Source organism: Homo sapiens, chromosome 8 (assembly GCF_000001405.40).
Source record: "Homo sapiens chromosome 8, GRCh38.p14 Primary Assembly".
NCBI lineage: Eukaryota > Metazoa > Chordata > Mammalia > Primates > Hominidae > Homo > Homo sapiens.
The window spans coordinates 121,601,840-121,622,793 of NC_000008.11; the positions used below are offsets into that span (position 1 = coordinate 121,601,840).

A 20,954-nucleotide genomic window follows, 5' to 3' on the forward strand; every position below is an offset into this window, starting at 1 on the left:
TAATGTAATAAGGAAGAAGGAGAGAGGTGCAACAGGAAGTCATGGAAACATACAGAAGGCAGATCATGTTGGACCTTGTGGAATATGGTATTCTAAGATAAGATGTTTGAAGGCTTCTAAGCAGGTGAGTCAGATGCTCTCACCCTGGCTGTTAGAAAGGTGCAAGAGTGGGAGAAAGGATAGATGTCTGACAATACAAACAAGATGCTGGTGGCTTGTCTGAGCATGGTGAAAGTGATGAAGAGAAGAGTCCACCAGGACTCAGGCCCTTATCTGACCTTCGTAAGGTAAAAATCTTGATGTGTCCTAATGCTCAGAACAAATCATCATAACTCAAATGTGCAGAGTTTTTCTGAATTCTCAATGGCCTTTTCCTTCTATTATTATTACTAATATTATTATTTAGTCTCAATAGACTCCCTATGAGGTTTGTAGCAGGGGACCTCTTATACTTTTCAAATTGAGAAATTGAGATATTCACCAAGAGTCAACCAGAACCCAGTGAAGCCAGGACTGAAATTCAACTAATGCCAACATCATGCTTTTCCTACTGACCCACCTACCATATTTTAGACATTCCAAAGTGCTTATTTTATCAGATGTAAAATTTTCTGTATTAAGTGTTATTCTGGATGTCAGAAGATACTAGACAATTACATGAGTTTAACAGTTCTGTGTCTGAAGAGGGTGGCCACCTATGCTGAGAAAAAAAAAAAAAAACTGTATAGAAGCCTAGAAATGGGTGACTTAACATGCAGTTTTGAGGCATGGGCACGGTGGCTCATGCCTGTAATCCCAGCACTTTGGGAGGCTGAGGTGGGCAGATCACAAGGTCAGGAGTTCGAGACCAGCCTGGCCAACATGGTGAAACCCCGTCTCTACAAAAAATACAAAAAATTAGCTGGGCATAGTGGCGGGAACCTGTAATCTCAGCTACTCGGGAGGCTGAGGCAGGAGAATCTCTTGAACCCGGGAGGCAGAGGCTGCAGTGAGCTGAGATCACACCACTGCACTCCATCCCTGGCGACAGAGTAAGACTCTGTCTCAAAAAAAAAAAAAAAATCAGTTTTGAGAGGTCAAATTGCTTAGTATTTGAGTTATATATCCAAGCCCTCAGTGTGGTGTTTTGATGAGTAAAGAAAGCATAGGAAGAAAGGAATATTAATGAAGTTAGTTGTTTATGAGAGAAGGAAAAAGTAAAATTTTATTAAACTCCTATGACATGGTAAGTATTTTTCCTATGTATTTTTCATAGGATATTTTGATTACACAATAACTCTGAAAGATGAGTGTCATTTCCTTTATTATTCAGATAAACTAAGGCTCAAAGTGGTGGTGTAGTTTTCTCAAGTTTATACAACTGAAAAACAGCAGAGCAGCAGTTTGAATGCAAGTCAATCTGCAACCAAAGCCCAAGTATACAGTGAGTCAGAGCTCCAAACTTGTCTGGCCTTATACACTTCCAAAATGGGTAATATGGCAGCAATTTGTTTTGGAGCAAGAACTTTAGAATCTCCACTTTTTTTTATATGTTATGATATTTCCTAATGGAGCTGAATATTTCAGGTACTGTACTGTACTACTCAGAGTGGCCTTATATTTAAAATCTAAATATCAAAGACCTGTAATCCTGAAAGCTTATAATTTACAACTCCTTTTGAAGGGAATGGATTTAAGCATAGCCTCTATATGTCAGGTTTAAGATTAGAGAAGCTGCCCAGAAATTGCAAATTAGAGGTTTTCTGCATTATAAAGCAGGCCTCAAACACTTATCTGGATGAAAGAGAGCCAGATGCTGGCTCCAGGGTATGTAACCCGTAGTGAAGTTAGAACCCAGGAGCTAAAAATCAAATGGATTGCAGTGTACTTACTTAAGATACTTGCAGTGTACTTACTTTTTCCACTCTCTCTCTTTATACCTTGCTTCATTCCTGAAACCTTTGAAGCAGCTGAATTGGACCAAATGGCTTTTAAGTTATCCACCTACGATGATTCCACTAATAGCTTCATAAAACAGCCATTCATTTTTGATTCCCAAAGATCCTTTTTCCAGGATTTTTATTTTTGTAATACTTGCATCTATTTTTTTTTAAATTAGAGACACATTACATGTTGTCTGGAGAGACTAATTGTTTACTTATATGACATACCAGTGCCTCTGTTCATTCTGAGAGTAAGGCATATATACTGTGATTCTAGCCTCACCTCGTTAAAAAAAAAAAAAGATTGTATTTGATTTTGTTACTCAACAATCAACACAATCTAAGACAGAGAATAAAAAGCAAATTTTCCCTTGGTTTATAAAGCAATAGTGCTTCTTTTCCGTCAGTGCTCTCATATATTGCGAGAGTTGTTTCAAAGACTAGCTAACCCACTAATTGTACATTTTCCCAACATAAAAGGATTAAACTCCTTGTTGCCCTGAAAAGCAGAATTGAAAGAAATCACTTAGATTTGCCTAAGCTATAGTGTGGAGAGCTTTCTGACAACAGGTGGGTACGTTGAACTCTTTAGAGAAGAGCCTGTTTCTGTAGCTGGTAGGCTAAGCCAAATGAACCTGAAGGTTTCTGTCTCTTAACCCTGTGGTCCCCACACCTGGAGCTGATTACCCAAATAAGTAGGAGGTTAAGCTCTGAGTGAAAACAAACTTTTCTTAATCCAGTCTATCATGAGAACATTTGGACACAGGAAGGGGAACATCACACACTGGGGCCTGTCATAGGGTAGCGGGGGCAGGGAGGGATAGCATTAGGAGATATACCTAATGTAAATGACGAGTTAATGGGTGCAGCACACCAACATGGCACATGTATGCATATGTAACAAACCTGCAAGTTGTGCACATGTACCCTAGAACTTAAAGTATAATAAAGAAAGAAAACAAATTCAACTTGTGATGTCAGAAAATATATGCCAGTGTCGCCTGAACTATGTTCTGCAGAATAATAATGTTAATCCAGATGTTAACCAACATCCCGGTGGAAAGAGTATCATAGTCATGTAAGTGTGGGGATTTCTGTATGTGATGGGCCTTTCTTGTAGATTCATAAAGCTCATCAGCATATTAAAAGTTTCTGAGAATTTATACAGCGAAGAAATATGGCGTTTCTTGGGAGAGATAGCATTAGGAGATATACCTAATGTAAATGATGAGTTAACGGGTGCAGCACACCAACATGGCACATGTATACATATATAACAAACCTGCACGTTGTGGACATGTATCCTAGAACTTAAAGTATAATAATAAAATTTTAAAAATGTGGTGTTTCTTAAACATGCCTGAGATTAGAACTCTTTTAATTAATGAATGATCTTTCAATATCTTGGAGCACTGATGTTGCAAGCACTGACTGAAGCAACAGTTTTTCCTTTTCCAAGCGCAAAACCTAGTATATAGTAGACACCTAACAAATATTTGTTGAAGATCAAATAAGTGCATGAATGAATGAAATCATATAAAGTAAGGATATATATTTATATGCATACACTTGTAGTGTAAATAATTTTTTTTCCTATGGAAACAAATAACATGATCCAACCCATGATTACTGAACTCCTGCTTTTGGGGAGCTCCTATGCTAGGTGTGGGGGAGACCAGGATCTAGGACAAGATGATGATCACACCATGTTACATGTGGAAGAGAGATCACCGGGGTAAAGAAAACATGCTATGCAATACAGGTGGGACGGGGGGTCAGGGGAGACTTCTGGTGAAAATGATATCAAATTGAGTCATAAATGACAAGGTAGAGTTAGCTATGTAGAGAGATGATTTCATGAATGTATATGATATGCACGTATAAGAAAAGCTTCAGATGTACTGCATTGTAATACAGCTTAATAGCATATAAAATACACATTAGTATTTTATGATTTGAAGGTAAAACATTGTATCAGAAATGCCTTTGTTCAATGAGAAGGCTAGGTATTCCAGGAAACCAAATAATATGAGAACATGTGTCAACAGTACTTGTCCAAATTACGTCAAAGAAAAACATGAACCATTAAACAATATAGGAAATGTAGCACTTAGCATTTAAATTAGTAAGTTAAAAAAACAATTTTTGGAGTGGGGGGAATCTGTGCATCCTCATTATAGAAATTCTAGTGAACTCTACTACTTCACCTTTCTCACAACTGAAGAACAGCCTCCTGCCCATACTTTTTTCTTTTCCAACACTGATGTATTTCTGTCTCTAGCCTCTCTTCATATCGTAAGTTATAAGTCGACCGAGGGATGAAGGAGTTCCTTATAGCTAAAAAGCTAAGATTTTGACTTAAAAGAAAAAATAACTCTGACTCTGTGGGCGTTTCCCAACCTGTATTGGGAGTTTTATTCCCTCATGCTTTTATTCTGTTCACAAATTTATTTTGAGTTCCTAATCTGTGACACACTATGTGCTCAGATCAGAGCATGCAATGCTGATACGATTTTACACAGTTCCTTTCTTTCTTTCTTTCTTTTTTTTTTTTTTTTGGAGATGGAGTCTCGCTGTGTTGCCCAGGCTGGAGTGCCGTGGCGCGATCTCAGCTCACTGCAAGCTCCACCTCCCAGGTTCATGCCATTCTCCTGCCTTGGCCTATCAAATAGCTGGGGCTACAGGCACCTGCCACCACACCTAGCTAATTTTTTTGTATTTTTGGTAGAGATGGGGTTTCACCATGTTAGCCAGGATGGTCTCAATCTCCTGACCTCGTGATCCACCACCTCGGCCTCCCAAAGTGCTGGGATTACAGGCGTGAGCCACTGTGCCCGGCCTCACACAGTTCCTTTCATCATCCAGCTTATCCTTTACTGAAAGAGACAGATGTTGAACAAGGAGTCATAGAAACAAAGGAGTCATAGAACAAGGAGTCATAGAAACAAAACTAAAAAATAAGCACTAAGAAATTTCATAAGAGAATATAATAGAGAAACAAACCTGGCAATGGAAGTCATGGAAGACTTCCCCGAGGAAATGAGGATTGAGCTGAGGCTGAAGGGTAGATAGGAATTCACTACACAAAGGTGGCAGTGGGAGGAAGTGGGGTCAGGAAGAGCTTCTGGAAACGACCACAGTAAAGTAAGAGCATGGCTTACTTTGAGTTCCTTTAAGTAACTTTTTGAAGGAAAGTGTAATTTCTTATTTCTGATAACTTTTAATGTGCTGATGAGCTTTATGAATCTACAAGAAAGGCCCATCACATACAGAAATCCCCACACTTACATGACTATATTTCTTATGCCAAGCTGGTCTTGAACTCCTGACCTCAGGTGATTCGCCTGCCTCGGCCTCCCAAAGTGCTGGGATTACAGGCATGAGCCACCATGCCCAGCCTTCAAATTTACTGTCTGTAGTCATGTCCCACTCTTGGTTAACTACAACCTCCACTTTAATTAAATTTGTTAATTCTGATATCTGATATCTTATTTCTGATATCTTATTTCTGATTTCTGCTTATCCTGCAGCCAAATGCCTGGAATACTACCAACTTTCCTAAAAGAATATTTATTACTTGGGTCCATCCATCCTTCCTGGTTCCTTCATGTGTTCATTTACTTATTGACCATTTTTTTTTTTGAGACTGTCACCCAAGCTGGAGTACAGTGGCACGATCTTGGCTCACTGCAACCTCCGCCTCCTGGGTTCAAGCCATTTTCCTGCCTCAGCCTCTCAAGTAACTGGGATTACAGGAGCCCGCCACCACACCCAGCTAATTTATTTTTTTTGTATTTTTAGTAGAGATGGGGTTTCACCAGATTGGCCAGGCTGGTCTTGAACTCCTGACCTCAAGTGATCTGCCCGCCTCAGCCTCCCAAAGTGCTGGGATTACAGGCGTGAACCACCGCCTGGCCTATTAACCTAATTTTATTGAACACCTGACTATGCTAGTTACCATGGAGGATTCAAAAATGATAAAGACATAGACTTAGCCTCAGAAACCTTTTCGTCCACCAGGTTGTTATCATGTGCACTAATATTCATAAAACAAGACAGAAGAAAGTCTGGACTGCATGACAGAGATAAAAATAGAACACTAAGAGTGAAGGTAAATAAATCATTTTAAATTGAGGTATTGGGTAAAGGATATGCTAGTAAAATGAAGAATATGGAAGAATTTTGACAAGTAGGTATAAGAATGGGGGAACAGTGAAAAGCCATTTAAAATTGAGAGCAAATACCCTCTCACAAAGATAAAAGAGAAGGGCAAAGGTGAAAAGCCATTTAAAATTGAGAGCAAATGCTAACAGAGGAGAAGGGCAAAGTGTGTTCAAGAGGGAGCAAAAAAATCTAGTTTAGTAGGACATGAAAAATAGGAGTAAAGGACTGCAAGGGAGAAAATAGATAATCATCAGTCTTGAATAATTTCTTACATATTTAATGCTTTTGTTGACAATGAGGTGAAGTTAAATCTTTGTATTCAGAATTGGGCCTTAGAATGATAATTTTAACAGAAATGCAAAGAATCCATTGGATGAAACAGAAATGGAGAATAGAAAGGTAGTCAGGAGGTATTTTCTTTTTCTTTTTTTTTTTTTTAGACAGAGTCTCACTCTGTGCCAGGCTGGAGTGCAGTGGCGTGATCTTGGCTCACTGCAACCTCTGCCTCCCTGGTTCAAGCGATTCTCCTGCCTCAGCCTCCCCAGTAGCTGGGACTACAGGCATATGCCACCATGCCCAGGTAATTTTTGTATTTTTAGTAGAGACGGGTTTTTGCCATGTTGGCCAGGCTTGTCTCGAACTCCTGAGCTCAGGTGATCTGCTCGCCTCGGCCTCCCAAAGTGTTGGTATTACAGGCGAGAGCCACTGCGCCCAGCCATCAGGAGGTATTTTCAACAGTTCAGGTAAGAGATTTAAAAAGTCTTAACAAGGATGAGAGATGAATTTGAATGACATGGCAAAGGTGGGATCAAATGACTATAATAACTAGCTGGTTGCGGGCTTCTTATACCAAAACAAAGCTGAAGAGAGTGCTTGGGTAATTGGCAAGAGGCGATGACCTGAGAATGTAAAGCAAGAGGCAGCCTTGGAAGAAATACAATGAATGTGGTCAGGTGCCTGGGAGAGAAATACCAGTTTATTACAAGCATGCTCAGGCCAAATCGTAATTATAAACACAATTGTTTCTGTGAGATCTTTGAAACCAAACATCATAAAGTGCCTTATTTTATGACAATGTTAGAACCCTGTCCAAAAATTCCATGGGTGTGTCATCTATCAAAAGTAATGTAAATATCTCATTCTAGTATTTCTCCCAGTTGTGTTATGGTCTTCTATCGTCCATCTTCAAATTTACTTGTTTTTTTTTTTTTTTTTTTTTTTGAGACAGTCTTGCTCTGTTGCCCAGGCTGGAGTGCAATGGCGTGAACTCGGCTCACTGCAACCTCCACCTCCTGGGTTCAAGCAATTCTCTGGCTTCAGCATCCTGAGTAGCTGGGACTACAGGCATGTGCCACCACGCCCGGCTAATTTTTGTATTTTTAGTAGAGACGGAGTTTCGCCGTGTTGGCCAAGCTGGTCTCGAACTCCTGACCTAAGGTGATCCGCCTGCCTCGGCCTCCCAAAGTGCTGGGATTACAGGCGTGAGCCACCATGCCCGGCCTTCAAATTTACTATCTATAGTCATGTCCCACTCTTGGTTAACTACAACTTCCACTTTAATTAAATGTTAATTCTGTTTAAAGGACAACATATTAAAAGCACACCACTATCGCTGTATTCATGTTCTTTTACCTGAAAAATCATTAATTCCCATCCAAGTTTGCACGTCTTTAAAGAATCAACCTAAATACCAGGCTATCTTAAAACCTGCCGTTATGAGGCTAATTGTACATGTTCACCTTCTTCTTTTTACATCCCATGCCACTCTGTATAAAGAGTATTATTCTATTTCACATCAAATCCCAGTGTAATTACCCTCTTACTTACAGTGTAAATATCCCTCTTACTCAATTGTAAGCTCTTTGAGTATAGACACAGTGTACACCACTTCATTTCTTGCCCGTGACAGGAACTTTTTTCTTTTTTTGAGACAGAGTCTCACTCTGTTGCCTAGTTTGGAGTGCAGTGGCATGATGTCCACTCATTGCAACCTCCACCTCCCGGGTTCAAGTGATTCTCGCGCCTCAGCCTCCAGAGTAGCTGGGATTACAGGCATAAGTCCCCATGCCCGGCTAATTTTTGCATATTTAGTAGAGACGGGGTTTCACCATGTTGGCCAGGCTGGTCTCGAACTCCTGACCTCAAGTGATCCACCCACCTCGGCCTCCCAAAGTGCTGGGATTGCAGGCGTGAGCCACAGTGCCCAGCCTATAACAGGTACTTAATAAACTTAGTTAAAACCAGATATCTGCCAACACCCATAAATTATATTAAAGTAGAAAAGTTCAATGGGAGAATACAATATTTGAATGAATAACTATCTTCGAAATGATATGCGGTTTGAAGGGAACAATATAAGATACTAGATTAGGGCAATGCTTCTCAAACTTTAATGTGTTTAAAAGTCACCTGGATGGGAATCTTATTAAACAGATTCTCCAGAGAATTTGATTCAGTAGGCCTGGGGTAAAGCTACGAACTTGCATTTCTAATAAATTCCCACATGCTGCTGATGCTGCCGGACAGTGGATGAAATACTGAGTAGCATTAGTTGAAGGGGCAAGCTTGATGTCATAATGTCTGGACCTAAATTCCACCACTACAATGTACTGGCTTTATAATATTAAGTTACCAAATTTCTTTAAACTTCACTCAGCTTCCTCGCTTAAAATGGTAATAATAATGGAACTTCTTGGGACTGACATAATAACTAATCTATAAAGCATGCTTCTGGTAGTGCCTAAAACATAGTATGTGCTCAAAAATTAGGTGTCAGTGTGAGTACTTAATGGTACAGATAAGTCCACAGATTTCTAAAGAGCAGGGGTCATTAACTATGGGCTGCAGGATATATCTGGCTTGTTGCCTGTTTTGGTAATGCTGGTGAATTAAGAATAGTTTTGTGGGGGTTTTTTTTGTTTTGTTTTGTTTTGTTTTGTTTTTGAGATAAGTTCTCATTCTTGTTGCCGAGACTGCAGTGCAGTACTGCAAACACAGCTCACTGTAGCCTCCTCGACCTCTGGGGCTAAAGCAATCCTCCCACTTCAGCCTTCTGAGTAGCTGGGACCACAGGCAACGCCCACACCTGGCTAATTAAAAAAAAAAATTGTTTGTAGAGACTGGGTCCTGCCATGTTGCCCAGGCTAGTCTCAAAATCCTGGCCTCAAGCAATCCTCCCACACTGCTGGAGTTACAGGCGTGTGTTACCATGCCCAGTCCTAAAATGTATACTTTAAGGCTCTTTACATTAAAAGACTGTCACCAAGTGACTTCATCAGTGAATTATTAAGTTTAGAACCATCAATATTTCTGGATTATCTGACAATAATGTTCAGTGGCTATAGTTTATAATGTAGCAGTACAAAAGTAATGAAGGATTCTTAGAAAACAGATAACACAAAAGAACTGGGAAATAAGATGAATTTGAGGGATAAGAGGTAAAATGAGATAATTACTATCAAAGTTCCTCTAATCAGAAAATGCTGTTAGATGTCCCAACCCACTTTTTAAAAAGATGATATTTATTGTCTTTTTTTTCCTGATTATAAAAACATATTTATAGTATTTGGAAAATACAAAAACATATACAGAATATAAATCAGTCATTCCCAGTATTAGAGATAATCATGTTTAAACATCTTCACTTTTATAAAATTGGGATGTTACTGTACAAAATGGTTATTTTTTTAATGTGACATTTCTCCAAAATCCACGTGTTCTCTGAGAACATTGTGTTCAATAGCTAATGATGTCCCATTTTTTAGAAATGCCATGATTTATTTAATTATTGCCCTCATCATTTGATTTTAGGTTAAGGTTTTATTATTTCTGAATAATGCTGAAATAAACAAGCTTGCTTATCATATTTCTGCATATCTTTGATTTTTTTTCCTGCTATAAGTTACTATAATTTAAAAAATTGTCTAAATTTGTGCTGCTTTCAAGGGAAGCAGAAGAAAAAGATTATAGACAAGGGTAATGATAATTAAGCAGTCTCTCTCCTCTCTCTGTGGTTTTCCAGATTTTCAAACCACACCAGTTTTAGGGATTTCTACCTAATAATAAGTAACATTAAATGACATATTCTTTTTTACCAACCATCATTTTTTTTAAAACCCCCCCTTCCTAAATTCATACCATTATAATCAGGAAAACAAAGTTCCCCCTTCCCTTAGAAAAAAAGGCAATAATCTTATCAAAAATATTTTATTTACAAAAAATTAATTATACTATACATCCTATACTGGAAATACATTGAATAATTGCTAAAATAAATACAGGCAATTAATTCAACTTTTTATAAGAATGAGAGAATTTGACATTTGAATGTTATCAAAGCTTAACTTAGAACATAAATAGTTAAAAAGGCAAACTCAAGTTTTCATCTCATTTATTGGCATGGTGTGTTTTGTTTTCCACAAGCTCTCCAATCAGTGAGAGTCTTGAGTCTCAGATGTACCTTTTTGTACTCTGAAGGTAGGATGTGCAGCTTTTTCTTAGGCAGGATAGATGTAACATAGATGACTGCATAAAAAAGAGGCAGAAAGGCAGGAAGCCCATTTTTTTTTTAACACTTCTCCATGTGTCTCTGCCTCACCATAATGCTGTTTATTCAATTATTCATATATTCCGATTGTGTTTTCAACACAGGTCTACACAGCACCAGCTACAAGGCAAGGTCAATCGTGTAAAAAATAAAACTGGATAATGGAGGCCTTGCAGTAACTAAATTAGCCAAGTTCAGAGTATGTGGTTCAACAATTTTTATATGTGCCAATCATTGATATACTTATTAAACCTTGATGTCACTTCTACTGTGTAGACATTTTTATACAGGTCCAGAACAGGAAATAGGAAGTGATGATCTGTGTAATTCAGAAAAACAAAATTCCTCATTTGAAAGTAAAAGAGGATAGATACTTGGTGATTCTATCTGCCAATTTTGAATTTATATGTTTTATAATTTATCCAACTCACCCGTGTAAACATTATACTAACATGTAAAGTGAACTGGCAAGTTGAAAAAAAAAAAAAAGACAGGCAAAACATGTTCAATGTGTAGGTAGGACCCAGTAAATTCAGGCCACAGAACAAAACCTTTGATAAACTGCATTGTATGTGTCCAAAATTATACAGATAATTTCTCCACTTTCCACTTGACTTGTTCTGGGAAAACACTGCCAGAATCTCCAAAGATTATTCATCTTTGATACCCATGTTTTGTCCAGTGCTGGATGCCTACTGTTTTCTTTCAAAGACTATCATTCCCTTTTTTTTAAATCTTAATGAAAAAATTGCACTACCTTTGGCCTTGATTTTCAACGATTTTTTTTTTAGGTACACACGAAAGTGTGTATTTTTACTTCCAAAGTGTGATAGGTATATTGGCCTTTTCTAAAAGAAATAAAAACAAAAAGTTAAAATATTGAAAGTTTAAATACTTCTTTCACAGAAATAAACTATTCAATTTTAAAAGGTAGAGAGAGAGAAACATTTTATTCTTTCTATCATGAACATCAGTCAACCAAGCTTCACATTTTGGGCAGGATTTTTTAAGTATAAATTTTTTAAGAACTTATTTTATTTTAAAAAAGGAAGAACAGGTTTATTTTGGCAGAAAAGTAAAATAGAGAATATGCAAAATTTGTCTTTAAGATTGGCATACAAAATTTAAAAACACAGTACAATTATATCAAAATACAGCACAGCCAACGGCCTTTAAAACTTCCTTTGGCATTTCATTTGGTAAAGTTAAAAAGAAAATCCTTCCTAAAAAAAAAAAATTATCATCTATCAAAACAGTCCATAAGTTAGGTTGTATAGGTTGAAAGAACTTTTCCTTGAGTTTCCAAAATCCTTTTCTTCCATGATAACCCACATAAAGCATGGCTAGTGAGGTATATAGGGCAAAACACTTTCAGGCGGATGCACAGTAAGGAAAAAGTGCATAAACAAAGAATTCATCCCATTTTCATAGAAATAACAGGTTAAATCTGAGTTTCTTCTTGTTGATGTATTGTTTTACTTTGGCAGAATGAAAATAAACCCATATAAATGTCTTTGTTCAAGTCCCAGCAGCAGTGATATGTCTCCTTTGGTGGCATTATCTGATGCCACAATACTGTACAGCCCCTAGAGGAACTAAGGTGTTGTGTGTGACTGCAAACGTCAAAACATGGAAGATCATACATCAAGCACCATGTCATATTGTTGTCCCTTCTTCCGCCTGCCACACTTATTGATGAGAACTACATACAGCGTCAAAAGCATGACCCAATAGCATGCATAGAGCAACGTTCCAACAATTAGAACTGTCTGTTTGGATTCTGAAAATGGCCTTTTAGACTCCTTATAAATGGTGAAAATCACACCACCCAGGAGGATTGTAAACCAAACTGATACTGGAATGAGTCCTATGAAATTAACAACAATGGTTTTCCTTCCTGATGTGCCCCACCCAGCTTTGTTTATTGTTGCAATTGCAAACATCTTGGCGGGAAGTAAACTCGACATGTATAACACTGAGTAGAGAGACATGAAGACCATGACGATATTTCCTCTAAGGCAGCTGGCAAAAGATGATTTTATGAGACCTACTAGCTGGACAGTTAACAAGAAGAGGAGAATGTTCCAAATTTTACCCCGGTAGAAGAGCTGGATTACTGTGGCAATGAGAAAGAAAGGAAAGAATCCAGTGATAATCGCTTCGTAGGTCATCCACAAGTGATGTTTGTGAAACCACATTGCATTGTACAGCCATTCTCGGAAGTAGGACTTGCTCCAACGGGTCTGCTGGTTTAGCCATCTGAGATATTCTATAGGTGTTTCAGTAAGGCACTTAGATCGAGCTGTGTATTTTGTTGCATAGCCCAGGCTCAGCACCCGGTTCGTGAGATGCCTGTCATCACCAAAGCTACATTGGTTGCCCATAAATTCTTGATTGTACCAATCTTCCACAAACTCATGCAACAAGGAGTTTCTGTACATTCCCAGAGGTCCACTAATGCACTGAACACACCCAAAATAAGACTGACAGGCCCTTTCTATATTAAAAGCCATCCAATATCTTACACTGCTGAGGAATGAGATCCAGGAATCGTACTTGTTTAAAATCTGCAAGAAGAAAAACATAAGTAATAGGTAAGCTTTAGCTAAAAATTCCAGCAAAACCTGTTCCATCCTGAGGTTACTACCTGGAGTAATATTTGTTATTTTATCCTCCCATTTTGGCTTCGTTCCTCTTTTTGGCGTGGTTATTTTATGTTTTCTCTGATTCTCTGATTCTGTTACTATTTGTTATGCTGTATGCATGTGTTGCGATTCTTTGATGGTGAATATTTTTTTCTATTTCATCCTCTACCCTCTTTCTGCTATTCTTATTCTGTTTGTTGTGTTATCATATTGAGATATTTACTTATTTATTTATTTAGAGATGGAGTCTCGCTCTGTCACCCAGACTGGAGTGCAGTGGCGCGATTTGGGCTCACTGCAACCTCCGCCTTCCTGGTTCAAATGATTCTCCTGCCTCACCTGGGACTACAGGTGCGCGCCACCAGGCCTGGCTAATTTTTGTATTTTTAGTAGAGACGGGGTTTCGCCATTTTGGCCAGGCTGGTCTTGCTCCTGACCTCAGATGATCTGACTTCCTCGGCCTCCCAAAGTGCTGGGATTACAGGCGTGACCCACTGCGCCTGGCCAAATTGAGATTTTTTTTTTTTAGGCTTTAGATCTCAATCCCTAAACTCTTTTCCCAGGCACTCTTTCATAACACGTAAGATTTGAATGTTTTTAGGTTCCAGTTCCTCCTGTGCTGGTTAATTTCAAACTGATCCTATCCTTGGCTATTACTTTTCCTCTCCTTTATCCACACTTTTTTTGCAATAGCAGCAATAGGAGAGTTTCCCATGGCCTTCCTGCAAATTTGAATCGTGAAATAATGCTTTATATAAAGGCTATTGAAAATTATCAGCTTTTTTTGGCTAGATTTCTACATTCTCTCCTCTGTCTCAATTTTGCCAGCTCCTTTTTTTAAAAATCACCAGGCTATTTCTTTGTCCCTTCTAATGTAATTTCTTTGCTTTTGCTATCAAACTACATATATAAAATGGGTTATATAGCATGATAATATCTAAATTTTAAAGTCTATTTTCCATGTGCTTTCTTACCTTTTGCTAAAATCTAACCTCATATTTATTTGCAAGGGAATCTTATTAATCCTCACATATTTTCACATATACATTTTTCCATCCCACAAATGTCAAATTACCTCCATTGATATTTGTTTCATTAATTGTTTCTTCATCAATAACAAATGATGGACAATATTGGAAAACCACTTATCCATTCTTTGCCTTTCTCACTAGTATAAACTTGAGTCTCTGTTTTTTTTTAATTATTCCTTTTTGACTCAGATTTTTTTTTAAATCAACCACATATTGATCATCCTTTAGGTATATAGGTATAAGATATATACCAATTTCTTACCATACTTCTATTTCTTTTTTCTTTTTCTTTTTCTTTTTTTTTTTTGAGACTGGGTCTTACCCTATCACCCAGGCTGAAGTGCAGTGGCATGATCTCGGCTCATTGCAACCTCCACCTCCCAGGTCCAAGAATTCTCTTGTCTCAGCCTCCCAAGTAGCTGGGACTACAGTCGCACACCACCACGCCCAGCTAATTTTTGTATTTTTAGTAGGGATGGGGTTTCACCATATTGATCAGGCTGGTCTCGAACTCCTGACCTCAGGTGATCCACCTGCCTCGGCCTCCCAAAGTGCTGGGATTACAGGCATAAACCACTGCGCCCGGCTCATACTTCTATTTCTTAATCCTTGTAATGAAATAATTTTTAGCAGAACATGAAATATTAAGTTATGGCCCAAAGGTATATGGTGGAAATCATTACACATTTATTTTAAGTTGCATATAACTTATCAGCTACTACAGAAATGGGTTATACCCCAGGACTAAGCAAGAAAGTTCTAAATTATATTTCAATTTACATAGGAAAAGAGGCAGTGAAGCAGATCCAAGGCACATTTTAATGTGTCTCAAGCACCAACAACAACACCTGGCACAGAGTTAGTGTTTAATAAATGTATGTTCAATGAGTCAATGAGTAAAAGTGCTCTTAAAAGTATTTCATGCAAAACAAACAAACAAAAAGTGAAGCCATGTACCTGGACATCTCCCCCAACACCTCCAACCATGGGATCTTCTTCTAAAACTTTTACCATCTCCACAGATGAGGCTGGGTCAAGCATAGTGTCTGAATCACAAACCTGCAAAGAAGCAAATGAAAAATGAGTTAAAGAAAAGGAAGAACTATAAATACATTCCCTGTAGTCAAAATTTCACATACATACTGTGTCCTCATCTTACTGTCACAAGGCCTCAGTAAGCAAGTATCATGATGATAACAGAGGCCTTGTTATATCATGGCCAATACAAAGAGCCTATTTTTCAGCAAACTCAATATTTAAGTTAATGACATTGCTGGGTAGAACAGCTGAAGTGATGTGCTAAGTATGACTTGTAGCGTGATCAACTTGTCCCAGTTTGCCATAGATGCTCCCAATTTTGTCAATGAAAGTCTCACATCCCAGGTAACCCCCAGTCCTGGCAAACTGTAATGGTTGGTCCCCCTAGAGGTCTGTTTAAGAAAAAAAAAAATGTTTTCTTGTTACCTTCAATAAGGCTTTTAGGCCTTTTTGTCTTTCAGGTCTGAATGATAAGAAAATTCTATGACATTTTCTTAAGGGAGACATATTTAGTAATGATTTTACCTTTCATTTTAATATGGCAAATAAATGACAGGAGAGCAATTCTCCTACATAGGATTGTATAATTCTAAAGCAATAGTGTAGTTCTAAAGATTGTATAGTTCTAAAGTCCATATGACCCGGGCTTAGCAAATGACATTGTATCAGGAAGGGGATTTGCAGGACCTTCAACACCTTTTTATTCTAAAGTATTAAGTGTTCATCTGGCCCTCTGAATTTAAAAGTGGATATAAATCACTTTAAGCTATTCTAGAAATGCCCATTGTTGTTTTTAAACACAATCTTTCTATGAGCCAAAAAAAAAAAAAGCAAGTCCGAAACTAGACCAACCACAACTTCAAGAAAATTTTTGGAATTAGTTTATAACTGTGTATTCCTAATAGATATTTCTATTGGAGTCTCAAGGGCACAGGGCTATAAACTGTGCTTTTCTTTTCAGACTGATTTCCAAATCAACTGAAAAGTTAAACAGAAAAATAATAAAGCAAATGGAAAACCAAACTATTACCTGTATGCTTACAAAGCTGATATGGAGAATAGGGCTTTATATGTGGAAAAGTGGGCTTCATAATTCTGAGTAATTCCCAGAACTACTCAGTCCCAGAGAGGGTCTCAGTGGGACTAGCCTCCTGCAGATACAGTGTATGTCCCTTCAAAAGGTACAGCTGATACCTGTTCCTGGGGGGGTGCCCACTCCCAAAAGCCGGGCAGAAAGAGCTGGGCTTCCCCTTATTCCTTCCACACTCACTAATAAGATTAAGTCACTCCTTTTCTCTTAGGAAAGGAATGAAAACAGCTGGAAAAGGCTGATGGGTTATACCTGCCAATGGAGCTTCCTCCATATGATCAGAGAAAATCAGAAATAGAAAAAAAGTAGGAAAAAAAAGTCCCCATCTCCCTATCCCTCCAACATTTACTAATTGGACATATTATTTTCTGCTAAATGCAGCAAAGTCCTAACAAATATAAATTGATCAGAATTGTCATGTGATTAATCAGCTTGATATCCCCATTCAGACAATGAATGGCATGATTGGCAGAGACTGAGTATTTATTATCTGCTATTCCCATTATTCTGCCATCAAGTCAGACTGTACTGGTTGGACTGAATCAAGATTTAGCCAATTTTTTTTAATATCAAAATAAATTATTTAACAGTCCTGCAAACCACTCTATAAACATAGTATTTCAGCCTGGGCAACAAAGTGAGACCCTGTCTCACAGAAAATAGTGTTTGATATACCAGTTTTGAATTTAAAAAAAAAAAGGAAATTAACCAATTAGTAGAAGCATAAAGTCTCAGAATTAAAGGAGACGTTAGATACATGTAGCATGAGTCCTTCACATTAGTAACTAAGGAATCCCAACATTTTTAAAAGCATCTAGGCTGGGTGCAGTGGCTAACACCTGTGTTAGGAAGAGCAGTGGGAAGCTAAGGCGGGGGGATTGTTTGAGCCCAGGAGTTTGAGACCAGCCTGGGCAACACAACAAGACCCCATCTCAAAAAAATAGTAAAATAAAATAAAAAATAAAATTATCTACCTCAATTTTACTACTAGCTTTTTTTCTGAAAAGGTTTCATGTTAATGAAGAATGCTGGTGAAAATAGCAATTTAAATGCATTATTGGAAATCATAATGTGTGGAGTATATGGGGCATCAGAAGGTGAACCTATCACCCTTCTAGGTTTAATTATAGCAATTTTGGGGTTAACTTCTGAATTTTTAAAACTTTATTCTCCTTATTTAGAAGAACTCATTTTCTAAATGAAACCCTATTGACTGTCTTTTTGTCATTCCATTTAGGTTCAGCATAGTCTCACTTATTTTAAGAAAAAAAAAATTAGGCAGAAGCTAGGCATTCGCTTTTCATTGTAAAAAACAGGATTTTACTGACACCTGGGTCTGTATCCAAGCATCTCAAGCCTCCGGAACCTAGAAGAATTCCCCCGAAAGTGATGTTTTGCCTCTCCCATGCCCTGTCTATCCCTGGTTTGTATGTGGCTACCAGGTGGGCAGGAGGTCTGTGATGAGGCTAGAAAAACATGAAGGCAGAAATTCTAACTCATCTTTAGCCTCCAGCATCCTGAGTTTATTACCACACCCACCTCTGTTGACTCAAGCTGGAAAAGGTAAAACCAGGCTAAAATAAGACTAAAAACAACAGGAAGAGGGCAATCCAGAGTTAATGTTCAAATAACTCCGTCTGCTTGTGAGCACAAGCAAGCCAGGAGAACTGGCTCTTTGAAATGACTACACTGGAACCAAATTTATGATGTTCTGCATATTTCAATTGGTCCCTGCCCCTCCCAATTTCCAATAGCAAAGTGCCAGAAGTTCTCTGAGAGAGATTGTTCACATGGTGAATTTAGCTGTATCAGAAAGGAAAGCTCAGAAATCTCCTGGGAAAGGGTTTATTACCATGGGATTTAACAGCTTTAAAATTTTTCAACTACTGGATGCTGTTTGGTGATAGAATGCCAGCTAGAAAGCCATGGTCTTTGACAGTTTGTGAAAGCATGTGTATTCATGGACACAAGGGAATTTACTCAGTAGGGTGTAAAGAGCATAATTTTAGCCCTTCTTAAAATCCATACAGCAAGAACAGGCTTTCTAGCCATCTCCTCACTCATCGGTAACAAGTATGCAATTTCACGAATGTCAACTATTTAGCCCTGGATTACAATCTGTGGGAGACATGCCCCAGTTCAAGGAGAACTGAACCTCACATAAGGAAAAAGTACAGGACAGCATTTGCACACAGGAAAGAGAACAAACTGAAACATCTTTTTGGCCACACTAAGTGTATCAGCGTAATTCGTTGAAACCACATGATCACTAGTTATAAGATTTCTCACCAGGAGATATGGAAATGAAGCAAGTCACCAACTTTTGAGTAAATGAAACATGTCAAGAAGACATTATTTAGAAGAACCAGCCACCTCAGTCTTAACCACAGAATCATCCACTAAATTGCATAAGACCATCACTCTTCCTGCCTCACTACTCCAGCCAAGAGTTAATTCCCTCCATTTCCCCCCTATCTAAAACAGGGATTGGCAAACCAAGGCCTACTGGTCAAGTCCAGCCTGCCACCTGTCTTGATATGGGTCATGGGCCAAGAATGGTTACACATTATTCAATAGTTGAAAAAAAATCAAAAAAAGAATATTTTGTGACACATGGGAATTATATAAAATTAAAATTTTAGTGTTCATAAATAAGGTTTTATTGGATGCATGCTGTATCAGAAAGGAAAGCTCAGAAAGGCATGCATCCACCCTTGCCTGCTCATTTACTTACTATTTATGGCTGCTTTTCACCCTGCAACAGCAAAATTGACTAGTTACAACAGAGACCATATAGCCTGCAAAGCCTAATATTTACTATTTAGCCTTTTATAAGCAAAGTTTGCCAACCCTGGGTTCAAAATAACTGGTTACACGGGGAAGGTTCTGCTTTCTTAAAAATAACAGTGAAGTTGAGATTAAATATGTTTGAAGCCCAATTTTAATTTAGTAGATTTTGCAAAAGCTGTCTCCATCTCCCTGTGTTAGGAAGAGCCTGAAGTGTAGGATATTAAAAAATTAGATTTTCTTCAGCCAAGATTTTGCCTATTACAAGAGCAAGTACCCATGAAATCAAGAAGCCTTAAAGTCTGAAGTCCTGTAACTTACTACTTCTATAACCTTGAATGAGCCATTTGCCATCATCATGGGACATTTGTGAGACACTGCAAATAAAAGTACCTTGTGAATTACAAAGGACTGTAGAGAAGTATTTCCATTAGTATAAGGTAATAGTCTTCAATATTTTATACTTTCTAAGTAAACCCACACCTAAAGGATTATGTCAATTATCACAAATAGATGGCTCAGTAGCAACAATCACTAATAGGAACATAGGAATTGATTACATATACAGAATCTCTTACCACATGAACAAACTCAAATTTATCTGGAAGCATCTACAGCATTCCTGTCTGTTCTAATTTATCTCACTAATCTTAAAGTTAATTTATCTCACAACAATCTAAATAAAAATCTCCTGTAGAAATACTGTTATCTATTCTACCAGATGCCTTGATCCAAGTCTAAAATGCCAAATCTCCATGTTTTACTTTTAATGTCTTTTTTTTTCAGACTGATGGATCTCCTCACTTCCTCCCATACCACTTCAAAGGGCATTGACAGCTAACACAGCAAGAGAGAAATCTTAATTACTCTGGCTGCCTCCAATGAGGAAACAGGTTGAAAATAAATCAAAACTCTTTTGAAAAAGGCTTCACCTTTTTCCTGCTTGTAAGGCTTAACCCTTCATCTTAACCTTCACCCTTCATCTTAACCTTGACTCTTCATCTTAACCTTCACCCAATGAGACTATCTCTAGAATGTGTAGCATTTGTTCTTGCTTCCTCCCACAACTTAACCCAAAAGTAAATAGAAATTCTGCATCACCCCCCCATCCCAATTTCTCTAGTAAAAAGGGGTAATGGCAGGAACAAAAAATTCCACAAATACTTACTTAGTAAATACAAGATGCTACCATTCCCCCTGAACTCCTACCAGTACAACCTCAGAGCAAACACACTACTGAAACAAACAAACAAAAAAAGTACTATATAAGGCCTTGGAATCAAATTCATCTGGATCCCAATCCACCATTAACCACCTATGTAAACTCGGACTCGTTTCTTCACTACAGACTCCTTACCTCCTAAGCTTCCATTCTGTAGGTGAAAAATATGGATAATCACATCTACCTCATAAGTTTGTTGTAATTAACTAGTGTTAATAAGATAATGTATGTAAAGCTGTTAGTAATGGCTAGCTCACAGTAAATGCTCAATAAATGGAACTCATATATACTAAAAAGTGGGCCACAATACATGCAAGATTTGGGGGAAACAAAACAGTGAGGACAGAAGTTGACTTTATAAAGATGGAATATTACATACAATTTAAAATTTCTCATACAACCAAAAAAAAAAAAAAATCAATCCAAAGCTCTAGTGCATGTTCATTAATAATATTACAACAAACTTCTAAGACTTTATCAAGATTGTATAACTTTATTTTTTAATCTTG

General features: G+C 37.8%; 1 protein-coding gene across 1 annotated transcript in view; it reads right to left on the bottom strand.

Moving 5' to 3' along the window:
• Positions 1–10,276: 10,276 nt before the first annotated feature.
• The window catches only part of HAS2 (hyaluronan synthase 2), a 29,325-nt gene continuing 18,647 nt past the window's right edge, over positions 10,277–20,954 (bottom strand). The window contains exons 3-4 of the mRNA NM_005328.3: positions 15,266–15,367; positions 10,277–13,199 (exon numbers count right to left, since the gene is read on the bottom strand). Of these exons, the coding sequence (NP_005319.1) occupies positions 12,270–13,199; positions 15,266–15,367 (1,032 nt within the window). The 3' untranslated portion in view covers positions 10,277–12,269. The remainder of the gene's footprint in view (positions 13,200–15,265; positions 15,368–20,954) is intronic.